Source organism: Homo sapiens, chromosome 7 (assembly GCF_000001405.40).
Source record: "Homo sapiens chromosome 7, GRCh38.p14 Primary Assembly".
Taxonomy (NCBI): Eukaryota; Metazoa; Chordata; class Mammalia; order Primates; family Hominidae; genus Homo; species Homo sapiens.
The window spans coordinates 128,610,454-128,630,741 of NC_000007.14; the positions used below are offsets into that span (position 1 = coordinate 128,610,454).

Sequence of the window (20,288 nt, forward strand, 5' to 3'; positions counted from 1 at the left end):
GCCCATACCTGCCACTTTGGGAGGCTGAGGCAGGAGGATTGCTTGAGATCAGGAGTTTGAGACCAGCATGCATGACACAGCAAGACCCCATTTCTATAAAAGAATACAAAATTTGCCAGGCATGGTGGTGTGTCTGTGGTCCCAGCTACTGGGAGCCTGAGGTGGGAAGATGCTTGAGCCCAGGACCTCTAGGCTACAGTGAGCCAAGTTCACGCTGCTGCGCTCCAGCCTGGACAACAGAGCAAGACCCTGTCTCAAAAAAAAAAAACCATTATACATGCTCTTTACAAAATACAGAAAAATATGTCACTCATAATTCCATTAATTGGGATTAAACATTTGGTACATTTTTTTTTTCAGTAATTTTGAGCTGTTTGAAGTAGATATGTGTGTGTATATATATATATACACACACACACACAAATGAATATATACATAAATGTTACTGATTTACGAATAACATTGGCTAGCATTTTTCTCTTCTCTAGTGATTTAGAAGGTATAGGTTTGATCCTTATTTCTGCTAATGTGGTAGTTAATCTGACTCTTCAGGGTCCTGAAACCTCCAGGGCTACTGTGACACAGCAAGATGGGGATCGGCAACCTTGCCTTTGTCAGTCTTTCTTATTAGGCTTTGGGTACAATTTTGTTTGAATATATGTTTAATAATACAGATTATAAAAGTCACTGTACTCATGATGATCTGACCTCCAAAATTTTTTTACTTGTATTATATTTCTGTACTTAATAAAAACATAAGGTAAAATAGTGTATTTTGACTCCTTTTTATATAAAACCTGGAATTCAGCACATAGCTAAACTAAGTCTGGCCTTTATTAGTAAAGTCTGGTGTGTTTATATTATTATTAATTTTTTTTTTTTTGAGACAGAGTCTTGCTCTGTTGCCCAGACTGAAGTGCAGTGGCGTGATCTCAGCTCACTGCAACCTCCGCCTCCCAGGGTCAAGCAATTCTCCTACCTCAGCCTCCTGAGTAGCTGGGATTACAGGTGCCCGCCACCATGCCCAGCTAATTTTTGCATTTTTAGTAGAGATGGTGTTTCACCATGTTGGTCAGGCTGGTCTCGAACCCCTGACCTTGTGATCCACCCACCTCGGCCTCCCAAAGTGCTGGGATTACAGGCGTGAGCCACCGCGTCCAGCTATTATTATTAATTTTATATATTTATTTTGAGACAGGATCTCACTCTGTCACCCAGGCTGGAGTGCGGTGGCGCAGTCTTGCAAGCTGTGCCCTCCCCAGTCCCCACCCGATGTGATCCTCCCACCTCGGCCTCCCAAGTAGCTGGGACTATAGGCATGTGCCACTACATTTGGCTGTTTATATTATTAATCAATTAATTTTTTGAGACAGAGTCTCACTTTGTCACCCAGGTTCAAGTGATTCTCCTGCCTCTGCCTCCCAAGTAGCTGGGATTACAGGCATGCACCACAATGCCTGGCTAATTTTTGTATTTTTAATAGAGATGGGTTTTTGCCACATTGGCCACGCTGGTCTCGAACTCCTGACCTGCAGTGATCAGCCTGCCTTGGTCTGCCAAAGTGCTGGGATTGCAGGCGTGAGTCACTGCGCTCGGCCTATATTATTATTATTAAATTACCATTTTTACTGCTATATATGACACTAAGTTCTTATGTATAGAGTATAGGCAGAGGCAGCTTTATGACCAAATTCATAGTCATTGTTAGACTGGTTTATTCAACTGATTTCAAGGCTTATCAACAGTATTTTTTTTTATTTATAGTTCTTGTTTTATCTGTTGATGGTGGTACATTTTTAAGTGATTATTTTTCAGCAAGGATTTGTCAGTGTTAAATTTTCTCTGCCTTGCAGACCTGAGAATTCTCTCTTTTGCCCTCCCATGGAAAGACAACACTGTGTGCAGGATTTTTGTGTCATAACCCCTTGTTCTGTTTGTTCTGCTTCTCAAATATAACACACATTCTCTCTCTCTGTTTCTCCTTCAGTTTTTCAAGCATTTTGTATTTCAGAGAGGTTCATGACCAAAGCAGCAAACACCATAATTTGTTAAATATTACCCCAGGGTGTATCTATATGTGGGTTTATATATTTTTATTTGGAAAATGTGTGATTATGTCTAACTATGCTTTTATCCCTGTTTATATTGGTTTCTTCTTGACTCTTAGCTTGAATCTCTGATTTCTCTCCTTTATTTCTAACATGTTATGTCTCATTTTAATATGATTGCCCCTTTCTTCTGAGTCTCATTAAACACTGTCTTCCATATATTTCTGGCATTTACTGCAGCTCATGTGAATTTTGATTTTATTGTTTACATTTTTATTTTTTGAGACAGTGTCTTGCTGTCGCCCAGGCTGGGTGCAGTGGCACCGTCATGGCTCACTGCAGCCTTCATCTCCCAGGCTCAAGTAGTCCTCTCACTTCAGCCTCCTGAATAGCTGGGACTACAGGCATGTGCCACTGTGCTTGGCTAATTTTTTTATTTTTTGTAGGAACAGGGTCTCACTATGTTGCCCAGGCTGGTCTTGAACTCTTGGGTTCAAGCAATCCTCCTACCTTGGCCTCCCAAAGTACTGGGATAACAGACGTGAGTCACCGTGACAGGCCTATTATTTACATTTTAAATTTCCCTGCTTTTTTCCCTCATCTAATATACTTTCTTACCCCATCCTGTATATTCTCTAGGGTTTTTGGTTCCTATTTCCTAGATATCATGTCTTTTTGCATTTTATGAAATATGACAAGAAGTATTCTAAAATGTTCTTTTGATTTCTGTGGGTGATAATTTTCATTGTTTTCAAGCTGATTTTCTGTATTCCTTGGGCCTATTTTTGTTGTTGTTGTTTTTATTTACTATTGTTATTTTTATTTCCTTTTCTCCATCTTTGAATGAGGAGACCCATATGTAGTCTCAGCACTGTGTTGTATTTTTCATTGTTCGGATATGTATACTTGCATGGAGTTGCTCTTATTCCTGTTTTTATTCATTTGGGTGCTGGTTGAATTGCCATCAAAGATTTATAATGAAATGGTTTGTGGGTGTAAAAAGCTCCTTGCCAAATTCCAGTATCTGTCAGGGTTTTGTACAGAGAAGCTCTGCTGTACTGAGAAATAATTGTGGGCGTGCCTTTCTCCATCATCTGACTCTTTAAGATTGAGATGACAGAGTATGAGAAAAACTTGAATCCTAACCTGGTACTGCTTTAGGAGTTTTAAAAAAATGTTTGCTTATGTTTTCTAAGAAGCAATATGTTTCCTTCACTCACCACTGCCCCTTCTACTCTGTCGTCTTCAGACTGTTGCAGTCTTTATTTGTATGTAGAGCAGTACTAAAGGAGTAGATAAATAAAAAAGGAAGACACCGAGGGCAGCTGCCTTGTTTTTAGGTTGATTAGAACTTGTGCTTCTAGAAGATCTAGAGGATCAATAGTGAGGGAAAGACTGCATGTCTTGTATATTCTTTCAGACATCATTCATTGAATTTTGCCATTTTAGTAAGATGTTGGGTATGGCTGCATTGGGGGCTACTAGCCATCTGCTTTTTTTTTTCTTTTTTTTTTTAATTTAAAAAAAAGGACACAGTGTCTTGCTCTGTCTCCCAGGCTGGAGTGCTGTGGTGCAATCACAGCTCACTGCAGCCTCGACCTCCCAGGCTCAAGCAATCCTCAGCCTCCCGAACAGCTGGCATCAGAGGCGCATGCCACCACACACGGCTAATTTTCAAAATTTTATAGAGACAAGGTTTTGCCATGTTGCCGAGGCTGGTCTTGAACTCCTGGGCTCAAGTGATGCTCCTGCCTCGGCCTCCCAGAGTGCTGGGATTATAGGCATGATCCACGCGCACCAGCCACCAGCTGTTACTTTAAACATGAACTCCTCGAAGACATTAGCGTCAGAAGCCACAAAAACTTAGAATTCTTAAAATTTTAAATAACTGCCAAGAGGTTGATTGATTTCATACATTTGATTATAGATTTCAAGGGAACACTCACCTTATGAGTAGACTGGGTTTTCCATAAACATTAAATGATCTTTGCTTGGTAGATTCTTTAGTATGAATTTGGTAATCACACTTACCCAAATGTAGTTACACTCTGCCTTTGATAATATGGTTCTGTACAAAAACTAACAGGAAGACATTATGCTATGGGGAGAGGAGAAACATTTGGAGACAGAAGCTGTTTCTCATGGGTTACTTTAAAAATGATGCTATATTATACAAAAGAAATGATAAAAATTTTTAATGAAGCTACAAAGTCTCAAAAATTGAGTATCGTGTGATATCTTCTGTTTGTGGTTTTTAGTATTTTAGAAACACCTAACAGGTTTTTCTTTTTCATAATTTAAGTGAGTTTTTATGAGGTAACATTATTTGCTAGAAGAGCTGAGATCTTTTTTTTTTTTTTTTTTTTAACACAAAAGGACTAAATTCAGGACTTGCTAGTCAAATTCGTCCTTGGGTTAGTGGTTCTTTCCTTCTCTGTTATTGCAGGAGGCTTCAAGTTTTTAGTCCACACTGTAGGCTTCTGACCACAGCTAAATTAGCTGTGTATTTACATTCTGGCATTCTTGAACCAGGACCTTGTTTGTTTGTTCTGTCTTTTGTGGGCATGGGCGTGCCTGGCTTCTCTGGTGAGGAACATTTATGCAAATTTATCTTTCTTAAATACCACTAGAAAAAGAACAAAGCAAACATAAAATTCAGTAATTTTTTTGTATGTGCTTAATCACTCTTTGTATTTTAAACATTCATTGTAGTTTATTTTTTTATTATTTTATTTTTTGAGATGAAGTCTCACTCTGTCACCTAGGCTGGAGTGCGGTGGCGTGATCTTGGCTCACTACAACCCTCGCCTTTGGGTTCAAGCGATTCTCCCGCCTCAGCCTCCTGAGTAGCTGGAATTACAGGCTCCCGCCACCACGTGTGGCTAATTTTTTTATATTTAGTAGAGATGGGGTTTGACCACGCAGGCCAGGCTGGTCTTGAACTCCCGACCTCAAGTCATCTGCCTGCTTTGGCCTCCCAAAGTGCTAGGATTGCACGCATGAACCACGATTCCCAGCTTTAACATTTTTTAAATTATTATTTTGTGATAGCTTAGGTGTTTGTGATGACAAGAGTAGCTGTAACTGGTTATTGGCAGGAGCAAAATATGATCAGTAGAAAAAGATGCCCAAGTTAGTAATTCAGTTTATCATTTATAAATAGATGATATGTTATGAGAGAATAAAGGAATGAATTATTTACTTTTTCTAAGACATAGTTACTTCTTACCTGTTTGAACTTTAATTTTGCTTTTGATAAAACAACATATAGAAATGATTTTTTTTTTCTCTCCCTAGAAACTGCTTTTCCATTAATCTTCTTCCTTGGAGCTAATTAAAAATTTTTTTCTCATTGAAGGCCAACTGTGATTTGAGACGGCAGATTGATGAACAGCAAAAGATGCTAGAGAAATACAAGGAACAATTAAATAGATGTGTGACAATGAGCAAGAAACTCCTTATAGAAAAGGTCAGTGAATAATGTTGGTCTAAACTCTGTATCCCAAGATACTCAATGTGTGTCATTGTGTGGCTTCTTATTCCTTACTTGAGATGAAAATATTTAAAATTAGAGCTTTTTAGGAACATGATTTGACAATTAGAATTTTTTCCTTGCGTGGACACCAGACCAAGCATCCAGAGTGTTAATTTGGGATACGCTTTGTTGTTGTGCATTGCTTTGAGTGTGATATTGAACAGAGACAGCTTGTCCTAGTTGAATTTATTTGGGGTATTGCTCTCCTAAATTCTTATATTCATTCTATCAATTGAAGTGAGTATCCTATTACTATTAGAATCATTAACAATAGTTGCATTTTTGTTTCAGAGATGGCATTTAGAATAACTTATGTATATAATAATGTGATAATTAATGCTTTGTGCATTAAAAAATTAAAGTTGTCATATACCTGTATATGATTACTTAACTGGCTGATGTCCTGTTTATTATATTCATTGGTTGATTATCACTTACCTCTGTTAATAGGTATTAGTAACTATTAGAAGTTTTTTTTTTTGAGGCTGAGTCTCGTCCAGGCTGGAGTGCAGTGGCATGATCTCAGCGCACTGTAGCCTTCGCCTCCCAGATTCAAGCGATTCTCCTGCCTCAGCCTCCTGAGTAGCTGGGTTTACAGGCGTGTGCCACCATGCCCAGCCAATTTTTGTATTTTTTTTTTTTTATACTTTAAGTTTTAGGGTATATGTGTACAACATGCAGGTTAGTTACATATGTACACATGTGCCATGTTGGTGTGCTGCATCCATCAACTCGTCATTTAACGTTAGGTGTATCTCCTAATGCTATGCCTCCCCACTCCCCCCACCCCACAACAGGCCCCGGTGTGTGATGTTCCCTTTCCTGTGTCCATGTGTTCTCATTGTTCAATTCCCACCTATGAGTGAGAACATGCGGTGTTTGGTTTTTTTGTCCTTGCGATAGTTTGCTGCGAATGATGGTTTCCAGCTTCATCCATGTCCCTACAAAGGACATGAACTCATCATTTTTTATGGCTGCATAGTGTTCCATGGTATATATGTGCCACATTTTCTTAATCCAGTCTATCATTGTTGAACATTTGGATTGGTTCCAAGTCTTTGCTATTGTGAATAGTGCCACAATAAACATACATGTGCATGTGTCTTTATAGCAGCATGATTTATAATCCTTTGGGTATATACCCAGTAATGGGATTGCTGGGTCAAATGGTATTTCTAGTTCAAGATCCCTGAGGAATTGCGGGGTTTCGCCATGTTGGCCAGGCTGGTCTTGAACTTCTGACCTCAAGTGATCCACCCATCTCGGCCTCCCAAAGTGCTGGGATTACAGGCGTGAACCACCATGCCTGGCCAGCTCTATTTCTTTAAGCCTACATGTTTTGCACTTGTTAAAAGTATTTGAACATACAATTACTCAGCTTCCCTTGTTTATGCTTGAATTTTGTATAATCTTAAATATTTTTTCCAATCTAAGCTTTATTTTATCCCGTTTCTTCTATATTTGTATAACTTTAGGTAGCTATCTTCATTGGAAGTTTTTTCTCAAAAGCCTTAAAATAGAACATAGTTCTTGGCAGCAATTTGAAAGTTTTTTGAGGAGAAGGGGAGACTTACAATGATGATTCAAATGAAGTAAACTAAAAAGTAATGAAGCAAGACGGAGGAAAAAGCAGTATTCACTTGAGCACATCCCAAAAGAATAACATTTCAAATGTAACTAGAAGAAAGTATGCTGAAGTTCGCAATACAGAAATAATTATTAATAAGATAGCTTTAAAGCCCTGCTCAGCTTTTGAATGTTGGGAATTGACCCAGAGGTAGCTGTAACCTAAGATGGTTCCTTCAGTAATGACCATTTTTTCTTTTTCAAGATGATGATTATTCCCCACCTTCTAAGAGACAAAGACCAACGAGCCACCACAGCCACCGGTCCCAGAACCCGCCAATGCTGGGGAACGGAAAATGAGGGAGTTCAACTCTGGTAAGTTCTCAGCGAAATCCACAACCTTTTCCTTTATCTTCTGGACTCTCAATGTGACTGATGAAAGTTACCACATGCTCTGCAGGGGGAAATGATTTAGCATGTGTTACTACATCTTAATCACATCTTTGTAAAGCCAGGAGCATTTTGAAAGTCACGTTACAGACATTGTTTAAACATAGTCTGTATTTACCAAAGTATAGGACATTGTATCATCTCATATTAATTAGTTAGTTGGCTCAAAATTAGTGCTAATGACTTAGTAATTCAGTGATTTCTGTTAGCTTTAAAACCTTTATTTCAGAACTATTTCACCTCTTGGTTTTCATTTTTGCTGTGTGTCACTGCCTGCCGGCTGCTAATTTATTAACTCCCAGTGAATCATGTGTCCTGTGAAGGGACTGAATATTAGTGGCAAATTATGTTGATGATTTGTATTTTGAATAAATAGTTTGAATACATAGAACATTAAGCTTGTATACATTTTGAAAATAGTATTTTAGTATTCTACTGTGTCATAGTCACAATGATTGGATATATATTGAATTTATATGTACTTTAAGTTTTTATATGTTTATGGTCTTTAGCATTCTAACGTGCAATTGTATATCTGTTAAGTCTTTTTTTTTTCAAGATTAGACTCTGATTTATTGAGGCATCTGTTTGATGCCACATTAAGTGGCCCAGGCTTTGTGTAGGGGTTGAGGTTAAAGCAGGAAGAAGTGTGGTGAGAGGCAGGGGTACCAGGATTAGGTTGGAATACCTGGGGGTGCTCTGAGGCTCCCCTAGTTTCCCTGGTCTTGGCCGGCTGTGCTGCTGGCCTGGGCATCTGATGGGCCTGCAAGGGTGGTCCAGGGGCTAGGGCAAGGACTTTGGAGTCACGCTGTTGGCTTTGAATCCAGACTCCTACACTTGGTAGCTGTGAACTCTCCATGTGTCAGGGACCTGCAGAACTGAGCTCTGTCTGAGCCACGTTCCATCCAGGCACTGCGGATCCATCCAGAGGGGCACTGCCTCAGTTTGCTCACTATTCACTGCCTTCTCAAGCAGACGCTTGTCTCCTTCTAGGCCCTCACAATCCAGTGGAGGAGACGAAACTCAGCTGCCTCTGTCCCTCTGGGCACGCCTCATGCCAGGTGCATCTGTGGACAGGGGCCATGCTCCTGGGCTTCCAAAGTTGGAGAAAGCTGCCAGGCTCAGGTGGGTACATCACAGCAGCTGCTGCCCTCTGGACACAGTGACAAAAGAACACTCTGGGCCTGGAGCCCTGGTCTGGGGCATTGGGCAAGGCTGTTGCACTTCTCTGAGCCCATTTCCCCATCTGGAAAGTGCGCTGATTGTATCTCCCTGTGGGCACTGAGGGCTCAGTGTTAGTTTGAGAGCCAGTATCTGGGGTTTGGGCTGTAATTCCCCATCAGCCCCATAGCTGCGGGGAACCAGGGACTTTGTTGGGATTACCCTAGGCATCAGTCTAGCTTCCTGCCCCTGGCTTGGGCTCAGCACCTGAAGTAGTCTAGGGGGTAGGTGGTCCTGGTGGGGGCTGGGGCTTTTCCCCAGACTGAGCTCACACCCAGAGCCAGAAATCTTGGTGCCTGCTCTGGGCAAAGGTGCCAGCCTGTGCGACAAGAGCGTAACTCTGTCTCCAAAACAAAACAAAAAACCTTGCATCATTTCAAGGGGCTCACACCTCCCTAAGGGCCTGGTAATTGGCTGGCTCTGACCTGCATTTGGCCCCGAGGGTGTAGGTAACACCCCACCTTACCTGGTTTCTTCCTGCCAGGGCCAATCTTCAGACCTCAGGACTTTGCAGCCTATCCCACCTCCCCTTTGGCCAGCCTTGAGCCCTTGTGGGTCTGGCACTTTTTCCAGGCTGTCTCCTGGTTGTCCTTCTGCCTCGAGGCCCGGCTCATGCTACTCCCCCTCCCACTCACCAAGACCCACAAGGACCACTCCACACCCAGCTCAGCCCCATCCCCTCAGATAGTCCTTTCTCTTTCCTCAGGTGGCCAGGTGCATATCTTGGTGTGAGGACCTTCACTGTATCTGGGAAGGCCCTACTGGTCACCTTGGTGACAGAGACCAAGGCATTTACCTGATATGAGTGTCTTGGTTCACTGTCTACATGGCTAGGGAGGGAGTCAATAATAGGCTTTTCACTTGCTGCAAGGGCCAGTTCTCCTGGCCCCATGGCTCTAGGGACGGAGGATGCTGCAGGAGATGCACCGCTCACTTCCCAGCTGAGGACTGTGGGTCATCTCAGGGTGATTTCACAGTCCCCACATGCCCCACCCCCTCAGCTCTGCAAATACCAAGCAGTGCAACCTGCCGAGGGGATGATGGGCTCGAGAGTGCCCAGGTAGTGCCCAGAGTGCCCTTGGCAGGCCCCTCACCTAGCTGCTTCCACAGCTCTGTAGCAAGAGTTCTAACCTTTTTTGACCATGAAGCCTGCTGAGAATAAGAGCTGTGGACTGTTTTCCCAGAAAGGCATGTACATGCTCTCCACACAAAACCTTTCATCATGGCCAAGCACAGTGGCTCATGTAATCCCAGAACTTTGGGAGGCGGAGCCAGTCGGATCACCTGAGGTCAGGAGTTCAAGACCAGCCTGCCCAACATGGCGAAACCCTGTCTCTACTAAAAATACAAAAAATTAGCCAGGCGTGGTGGGAGCCACCTGTAATCCCAGCTCCTCCGGAGGCTGAGGCAGGAGAATCACTTGAACCCGGGAGGCGCAGGTTGTAGTGTGGTGAGATCACGCCACTGCACTCCAGCCTGGGCAACAGGAGCAAAACTCTGTCTCAAAAAACAAAACAAAACAAAACCTTGCATCCTTTCAGGGGGCTCACACCTCCCTAAGGGCCCAGTAATTAAACCCCCTGGGCCTGAGGGTGAGAAACTTTGTCTCAGTTCTTCCCTGAGTGATCAGCCCAGGGGTAAGGAAGGAGAAGCCAGAAAGCAGGACCCATGAGAAGGGCCCCCTCCTGGAGTTTGAGGCCCACTCCCTCCTGCCCCTGCCTCTCCTCTGTCCAGGACTCCTCCCTGCTCTGCCCCACTCCTGGGGCTGTAACCATGGGGAGCTGTGGTTTTCTACAGGCCCCTGGGCACAAAGTGGGCAGGCTCACCTGGAGGCGATCAGAGTAACATGGCAGGAAGTGAGGGGGAAAGCCGCCCTGGAACTGCGCCTCTCTGCCCCCTGATGTCACTGGCATGCACTCCTCCCTCCCGTCACTCAGGCAGTGGCATGAGTTCCATGTGAGCGCTGGCCTGCTCCCTCTGCTGCCTCTTTTTTTTCTTGGGGCTACCATAACACTTGCCCTTCCCCAGCCCTGCCAACCTGGTGGGACATTGGGCTTCCCTCTCACAGGGTCCTGGGGACAGGCCCATCCTTTATCATACCCACAGAGAGACCCTTTTTTTCTTCAGGACCTGGGGAGCAGCCAGGTTCCATGAGTTAAATGCAGATCTGAACCAAGCTGAGATTAGGGTACACACTCTCCTCTACTGAAAAGTAGCTAGAGATTCCAACTAGGTGAGAAGAAGAGTGGGGCAGAGGCAGACCAGACAAGGACTGATCACCTGGAAAAAGCCGGTCATCAAAGGTCTTGGCAAATGCTGGGTGCAGTGGCTCACTCCTGTAATCCCAGCACTTTGGGGGGCTGAGACAGGTGGACTACTTGAGGCAAGGAGTTCGAGTCCAGCCTGGGCAACATGGCAAAACCCCATCTCTACTAGAAATACAAAAATTAGCTAGGCATGCTACACTCCTGTAATCCCAGCTACTCAGGAGGCTGAGGCAGGAGAAATCACTTGAACTGGGGAGGCAGAGGTCGAAGTGAGCTGAGATTGTGCCCCTGCACTCCAGTCTGGGAGACAGAGTGAAACTGGGCCTCAAAAAAAAAAAAAAAAAGAATATGGCCTTGGCAGAGAGGGGCCAGCCCGGCAGTGCCTTCCCTTGGGTTTCTCCTGGGTAGGCCTCTGCCATGAGGAGGCACTTCCTTCTGCCTGTCCATGGCCCACAGCAATGGAATGTCTGCTTCTGGGGGTTGGGTGGGAGACCGCTGGCAGAACTGGAAACCTTCAGGTGGGTTTTTTTTGTTTTGTTTTGTTTTCGAGATGGAGCGTCGCTCTGTTACCCAGGCTGGAGTGCAGTGGTGGAATCTCAGTTCACTGCAACCTCCGCCCCCCGGGTTCAAACAATTCTCCTGTCTCAGCCACCTGAGTAGCTGAGATTACAGGCATGTGCCACCATGCCCGGCTAATTTTTGTATTTTTTGTATAGATGGCATTTTGCCATGTTGGCCAGGCTGGTCTCGAACTCCTGACCTCAAGTGATCCACCCTCCTCGGCCTCCCAAAGTGCCGGGATTACAGGCATGAGCCACTGAGCCCAGCCCCTTCAGGGGGGTTTTGGGGCTCCACTACAATACTAGTTTCCTGTGGCTGCTGCAACAAATTACCACACACTTAGTGACTTAAAACAACCAAAATGCATTCCCTTACAGGTCTGAAGGCCAGAATTCTACAGTAAGTCCTACTCAGTCAAGGTGGGAGCAGGGTCAGTGGCTTCCGAGGCTCTGCGGGAGAATCCGTTTCCTGGCCGTGGAGGTGGCCTGCACTCCTCAGCTTGTGCTGCCCGTCTCGAATGACTGGAGTTTCCTGCTTCTGTCACTACACCTCCCACCCTCTCCATCACCTGCTCTGCTCTTATAAGGATCCGAGTGAGTACATCAACCCCAAAAGCCAAAGACCCTTAACTTCATTATATTTGCAAAGCCCCTTTTGCCATATAAGGTCATGTTCACCAGTTCCCGGGATTAGGATATGGGCATCTTGGGGGCATCAGCCTGCTACAGCTAGGCTGCAAAACTATTACACCCTCCTGGTGTTTCAATGATTGGGAGAAAAAGGGTTGGCATTTTTTGCTTAGGGGTCCCTCTTAACCTTGTATCTGTAAGGTCTGGGGTCCCTCTTAACCTTGTGTTTTTGTTTTTGTTTTTTTGAGGTGGAGTCTTGCTCTGTCATCCAGGCTGGCAGTGGCGTGGTCTTGGCTCACTGCAACGTCTGCCTCCTGGGTTCAAGTGATTCTCCTGCCTCAGCCTCCTGAGTAGCTGGGACTACAGGCGCCTGCCACCATGCCCTGCTGTTTTGTATTTTTGGTAGGGACGGGGTGGGGGTGGGGCTAGGGAGGGGGGTTTTGGCTATGTTGCCCTGAGCTCAAAGCGATCTGCCTGCCTCTGCTGCCAAAGTGCTGGGATTACAGCCTGCACCACTGCACCTGGCTGCTGTAAAGTCTTATTTCACACAGCTGAGACGTGTTTTAGGAAGTTTGCTAAAAGACCCCTGGAGACCTCCTCGTTGTGACCTCCCTGTTATTGTGTTTAATTTGATTGAACTTTTCTGCCCTCCTGCTTTTCAGCTTCTCTAATAGTCTCCCATTAAACCAATTCTAAGAACCACCAAAAAAGGGAAATTTTTTTTGAAAGCAGTAAAATGATATGGACTGTTAGAATGTAAAATACATGAAATAAGTCATTATATGTTAGTGCTGCTCTGACATAGGGACGTATTATTGAGAATCAACTTTTGCTTGATTTTCAGAGAAATGGAATAATCGTATCGCTGATCTACGTAAACAAATTGAAGAATTGTCTGAAAGAAAATATGTTATGTCTAAACTGGAAAAGTCCTGTAATCTTATGTTCATGGGCTTTTACACAATGGAGTTACTGTTCATCATGGGGGTACCGTGGACAAGCCCAGAGCTGCCGGCGAGTCATGCCATCCTTACACGTTTCTCCTTGGAAGGTGCTTTGTAGTGTCTACACACTTTGTTTCTAGATTGCTGCAAAGCTGAGGAAAAGTTGTATTTCTTTAATTATTAGTTAGCATTTCTTTTAAACTTTCAGTATGGAGATTGGAAATTTATTTACATATTTATTGCAAAGCCCTGGATCTTAGGGATTTCATTGAATTATTTATTTATTTTTTTTGAGACGGAGTCTCACTCTGTCGCCCAGGCTGGAGTGCAGTGGCACAATCTCGGCTCACTGCAACCTCTGCCTCCCGGGTTCAAGCAGTTCTCTGCCTCAGCCTCCTGAGCAGCTGGGATTACAGGCGCCAGCCACCACGCCTGGCTGATTTTTGTATTTTTAATAGAGACGGGGTTTCATGATCTTGGCTAGGCTGGTCTTGAACTGCTGACCTCCTGATCCACTCACCTCAGCTTCCCAAAGTGCTGGGATTACAGGTGTGAGCTGCCATGCCTGGCCAAATATTATTTTTTTAAATGAATTGTTTCTCTTAGTCTACTTTGTTAAATTTGGAATTCATATGGGCGCGGTGGCTTACACCTGTAATCCCAGCACTTTGGGAGGCCAAGGCAGGCAGATATCTAGGTCGGGAGTTCGAGACCAGCCTGACCAACATGGAGAAACCCGTCTCTACTAAAAATACAAAATTAGACGGGCGTGGTGGCGCATGTCTGTAATCCCAGCTATTCGGGAGGGCAAGGCAGGAGAATCACTTGAACCCAGGAGGCAGAGGTTGTGGTGAGCCGAGGTTGCACCATTGCACTCTAGCCTGGGCAAAAAGAGCAAAACTCCATCTCAAAATAAATAAATAAGTAAAATGTTCAGTACTCACCAAGGTGCCCCTATTGTCTCTACTTTTATCTTGATGCATCACTGAATTGATGTTAGATTTCAAATTCATCATTGCCCTTATACTATTCTATCCTGTAGCCACCTTTATATAATGATGAAAGAAATTAGCCATTTGTTATTATCCTCTCTCTGTTGGTGTACATCAAATGCTCACCTAAAAAGAGCAACAACCAGTGGAAAACACATGATGTTTTTATTTGGATGACTATTTACTTGTAACCTACTAGCAAACTATAAAATTGTATGATATGCAGAATTTTAACTGAATTGCTTTAAGTGAACATTTAAACATGACAAACCATATTGATGGTATTTATGTTAATATACTTAAAATGAACATTTTTCTTCGTTGTGAGTAATATAACCTACTTCTCAATGAAAACCTAGCATTAAATTTGCTAATGAGTTCAATAACATTTCCATAATATTTTTAGTTACATGCTTAAGTTTCTCTTAGTGTTTCTCCCACTTTTTAATAGCTTATGCCTTTTTCGCCTTTGGTTTTTTTTTGGTTCATTTTAAAGCAAAAATCTCACAACATGTGATACCTGGAAACACTGTAACCTAGTGGTAAGACCATAGGCCCTGGGGACACAGGCTGGCCATGTCTCTTCTCCTGTCTGAGCTTTAGTATCCTCTTTTGTGGTCATGAGAACTGAAGATCTGTCCCGAAGATTTGATAAGATAGTAAAGTGCTTCACATAATACCAGACATATAAATACACAGTAAATGCTTCCTCCTTATATTTTTATTGATTGATTGATTGAGACAGAATCTTGCTCTTTTGCCCAGGCTGGAATGCGGTGGCGTGATCGTGGTTTCTGCAACCTCCACCTCCTGGGTTCAGGCAATTCTCCTGCCTCAGCCTGCTGAGTAGCTGGGATTACAGGTGCCTGCCACCATGCCCAGCTAATTATTGTATTTTTAGTACAGACGGGGTTTTACCATGTTGGCCAGGCTGGTCTCGAACTCCCGACCTCATGATCTGCCTGCCTCGGCCTCCCAAACTGCTGGGATTACAGGTGTGAGCCACTGTGCCCAGCCTGTCTTTTCTCTTCACACCCACAGTTCATGATGAAATATTAAATATGTACTAGTGGATATTACTTTGCTGAATATTGCCTAGTGAATATTAAGTATTTATTCTCACCTTTCAGACGTGAACTTATGAATTCAACAGGTGAAGATTTACAACTTGATAAATCAGCTTCATGAGGTACGTCTTCAGTCTTAAGTCAGATTAGAAGATTATGTGAAGTAATTAACACTTAACATTGATTTAATGGTAGCTTCCACATGAAATAGTATGCCTCTAAGTGTGTGTGTGTGTGTCTTGAGACAGGGTCTCACTCTGTCACCCAGGCTGGAGTACAGTGGTGAGATCAGAGCTCACTGCAGCTTCCACTTCCTGGGCTCAAGTGATCCTCCTATTTCAGCCTCCAGAGTAGCTGGGACTATACAAATGTTTTACCGCACCCAGTTCATTTTCTAATTTTTTGTAGAGATGAGGTTTCACTCTGTTGCTCAGGCTGGTCTTGAACTCCTGGCCTCACGGGATCCTCCTGCCTTAGTCTCCCAGTGGGCTGGGATTATAGGTATGAGCCACCTCACCTGACCTGCAACGATTTTTCAACAATGTAATTTCTCTTTTACAGAGCCACCTGAGCTGAAGATTCCCTTGAGAACAAGTACTGTCCTGTGGTTTCATGGCCTTTCTTCCATTTGTGGTTCTTGCGAAGTGGAATTTAAATGACATCTTATCAAGATGGATAAACCCTAGTTTCCCAGTGCTGGAATATAGAAAATGGATGGACAAGTAAATCCCACTCAGCACCCATAGTCCAGGCATGGGGACCTCAACACACCTGAGCCCCAGACATCACCTTTCATTGTGAGTAGCTCTGAGATGACACTTCTGCTGTTCCCAATTCCAGCATTAATTGGATTAGATAGTTATTTTATGAAGAATTTTCATATGCCACAATCCTGACCATATCTTCAAGTGAACAGAAAAATTCTATTAAAAAGTCAACCTTCTGTCTCACTCTGTTGCCCAGACTGGAGTGCAGTGGTGCAATTATGGCTCACTGCAGCCTCAACCTCCTGGGCTCAAGTAATCCTCCTGCCTCAGCCTCACAAGTAGCTGGGACTACAGGTGCTTGTCACCACACCTCACTAATTTTCCCATTTGTGTTATATGTGGATTCCACAGGACTGACTTCGAAAACTTGAGTATGCATGGATTTTGGTATACACAGAAATGGGAGAGCTGGAACTAATCCCCCCATATACCAAGGGACAAATTGTATCTGTTTGTATCTGTATTGTACAATTATACTGTAGGAGACATTATGTTCCATGACAATGGTAATTTTTAATGACAATTTTTAATTGAGTGAAATTACCATAAAAATAATAATAGTAGCAGCTAATATTTACTGAGCTGTTACTAGGTGCCTATAAATAGCATAGATTTTTAAATTCTCCATAATTCTTCCTTATTTCACTTAACCACTCTATCTTAAATTACTCATGCTTGCCTCAGTAGCACACATACTTAAGTTGGAACAATAGAGAGATTGGCATGGCCTCTGTGAAAGAATGACGTGCAAATTTGTGAAGCATTCCGTATTTTTTAAAAAAGAAAAAAATTACTCCCAGATTTTCACTGTGTTTGTGCATATGACCTTTTGTTTAGTTTGAATTATATCCAAAGATGAAATTTCCAGAAGTGAGATTACTGTGAGTCACAGGGCATGAGCATTCTTACTACCCTTGATGTAAATTGCAAAGCTTTCAGGCATGGTGGCTGTCAGCCTGTAATTCCAGCACTTTGGGAGGCTGAGGTGGGAGGATTGCTTGAGGCCAGGAGTTGGAGGAGGCAGTATAATGAGTCACTGTCTGTATGATTTAAAAAAAATTTCCAAGCTTTATCCTGGAAGGCTTATATACATTTTAAACACCACTAATACTACAAGAAAATGGCCATTTCACTGTACCTTCGCCCACACAGGTATTATAATTTAACAAGTTATTTTCTGTGTGATAAATGAAAGACCTCATATTATTACTTTGTCACCTTTTTTTTTTTTTTTTTTTTTTTTTGAGACGCAGTCTCGCTCTGTCGACCAGGCTGGAGTGCAGTGTTGTGATCTCGGCTCACTGCAACCTCTGCCTCCCAGGTTCAAGCAATTCTCCTGCCTCAGCCTCCTGAGTAGCTGGGATTACAGGCACATGCCACCATGCCCAGCTAATTTTTGTATTTTTAGTAGAAATGGGGTTTCACCATGTTGATCAGGCTGGTCTCGAACTCCTGACCTCGTGATCTACCCGCCTCGGCCTCCCAAAGTGCTTGATTACAGCTGTGAGCTATGCGCCCAGCCTATTTGTCATATATTTTATCTTTCCTTATGTTAGCTTATTAGCTTTATTTCTTTATTGTCCTTTTTTTTTTTTTTTTTGAGATGAAGTCTCGCTGTGTCTCCTAGGCTTGAGTGTAGTGGCACAGTCTCAACTCACTGCAGCCTTGACCTCCTAGGCTCAGGTGATCCTTCCACCTCAGTAATTGGGACTATAGGTACATGCCACTATGCCTGGCCAATTATTTTTATTTTTTTATTTTTACTAGAGACGAGGTCTTGCTTTGTTTCTTAGGCTGGTCTGGAACTCCTGGCCTCAAGCAATGCCCCCACCACCCCCTCCCAAAGTACTGGTATTATAAGCATAAGCCAACATGCCTGGGGTATCTGTGTCTTTTCCATTTATTTATAGAGTTACTTTGTCTTTTACTAATTCGATGATCTGTTTAATCTTTTATTAAATTATAAAAATAGTAAATACTTTTAAATAAGTGAAAAATGTCCTTCACTCTTTAGACCCATAATCTTATCTCAGGAAATAATTGCTATTGAGAAAATGGGCCATATCCTTCAAGATATGTAACATGGTGATTGAACATCGTTTCACATTTTCATATTTCATGGACATTTGTGCCAATACCTATTGATCTATCTTAATCCTTTTCATGGTTGCATGATATTTTATTATATGGATGTATCACAATTTACCAGTACCAGTCAACTGCTGGAGGCATTTAGGCTCCTTCTGATATTTGCTTTGAGCTCTTTATATAATTAAAAATTAACCCCCTCAGCCAGGTGTGGCAGCTCATACCTGTAAATCCCAGCACTTTGGAAGACTGAGGTGAGAGAACTGCCTGAGTGTAGGAGATCACCACCAACCTGGTCAACATAGCGACACTTTGTCTGTACTAAAAATTAAAAAAAAAAAAAATGAGCTACACGTTGCAGTGCACACCTGTAGTCCCAGCTACTGGGGAGGCTAAGACTGGAGGATCACTTGAGTCTAGAAGGTTGAGGCTGCAGTAAGCTATGATCACACCATTGCACTTTAGCTTTGCTAAGAGCAAGACTGCATTTCTTAAACAAAATAAAAATTAGATGGGAATATTGCTTAAGCCCTGGAGGTTGAGGCTGCAGTTAACTGTGATTGCACCACTGCAGTCCAGCCTAGGCGATAGAGCAAGACCCTTTCTCTAAAAATAAAATAAAATAAAATAAAAATTAACCTTCTATCATATTTCCAGTAACACCTTCTCTCCTACGTTTCTCCTAGAAGCGCTTAAATTTTGTTTTTCACATACCATTTAAAACTTTTAAGTGCTGATGTCTGTCTGTGTCATCCCTCTTTTTTTTTTTTTTTTTTTTCTTAGAATGTCTTTTTGTTACTTCTAGCTGGACCTACCATGAAAGACTTCTGAATCCAGGAAGAGAGACTGACTGGGAAACATGTTATTCAGGTACAAAAAGACTTGGACTGTAACTCAAAAATGGTCAAATAATAGTGCATGCATCAAGTGCAATGGGAAGCTCTTCTGGAGAGTGAGAGAAGCTTCCAGTTAAGGTGACATTGAAGCCAAGTCCTGTAAGATGAGGAAGAGTTGTATGAGAGTGGGGAGGGAAGGGGGAGGTGGAGGGATGGGGATTGGGCTGGGATGGGATGGAGTGAGCTGCCCAGTCAGGTAAACCAGCACTATACAGACCTGAACAATGAAGATGGCACATTTTGTTCAGGGAATGGTGAATTAAGTGTGGCAGGAATGCTTTGGAGAGACGGTCATTTGCTTGTATGGAATTTTGCCCAAGAGACCTCATTACAGTTCCTAATTTTTTGATGTTATCATGCATCACTGCCCTTGTCAGATAGTATCATGATCACAGTAACATCAAGCATAATATTTCATTGATTCTCACAAAAACAGGTGGGTGCCACAGTTATCCCCATTATATGCACAAAATGATGAAGACTTGGGGTTAATGAGCGATTTGCCCAAGCTCACCTGAATATTAAGACTGAGTCAAATGTTAGTCTGGTCTGACTTTAATGCTTGCTGTGTTAATGAGCACCATGCATTGCCTCTCCTATGCAGTTAAGCAGGTAGACAGGTGAGAGAAGAGCCCATGTGATATCGGGGGAAATTCACCCCAATATTTCATGTAGGTTCTTTTCTATTTTCCCTGAGTGTCGGCCGGTCTGAGAAATAAAAGGAAAGAGTACAAAAGAGAGAAATTTTAAAACTGGGTGTCCAGGGGAGACATCACATGTCAGCAGGTTCCGTGATGCCCCCCAAGCCGCAAAACCAACAAGTTTTTATTAGTGATTTTCAAAAGGGGAGGGAGTGTACGAATAGGGTGTGGGTCACAGAGATCACATGCTTCACAAGGTAATAAAATATCACAAGGCAAATGGAGGCAGGGCAAGATCACAGGACCACAGGACCAGGGCGAAATTAAAATTGCTAATGAAGTTTCGGGCACGCATTGTCATTGATAACATCTTATCAGGAGAAAGGGGTTGAGAGCAGACAACCCATCTGACCAAAATTTATTAGGCGGGAATTTCCTCGTCCTGATAAGCCTGGGAGCGCCACGCGAGCCCAGGGCTTATTTCATCCCTTATCTATGACTATAAAAGACAGCCGTCCCCAAAGCGGCCATTTCAGAGGCCTCCCCTTAGGGGTGCATTCTCTTTCTCAGGGATGTTCTTTGCTGAGAAAAAGAATTCAGCAATATTTCTCCTATT

The 20,288-nt window shown here is 43.0% G+C and overlaps 1 pseudogene, besides 1 other annotated feature; it reads left to right on the top strand.

The window, feature by feature from the left end:
• Positions 4,952 to 5,148: a silencer, noted in NCBI's record as "fragment chr7:128255459-128255655 (GRCh37/hg19 assembly coordinates)". NCBI's record gives its function as "represses an EF-1alpha promoter that drives an FKBP-Casp9 reporter gene in an ReSE screen in HepG2 liver carcinoma cells {active_cell/tissue: HepG2}" and the evidence as "EXISTENCE:reporter gene assay evidence [ECO:0000049][PMID:32094911]".
• Positions 16,719 to 16,822, top strand: RNU6-177P (RNA, U6 small nuclear 177, pseudogene; annotated as a pseudogene).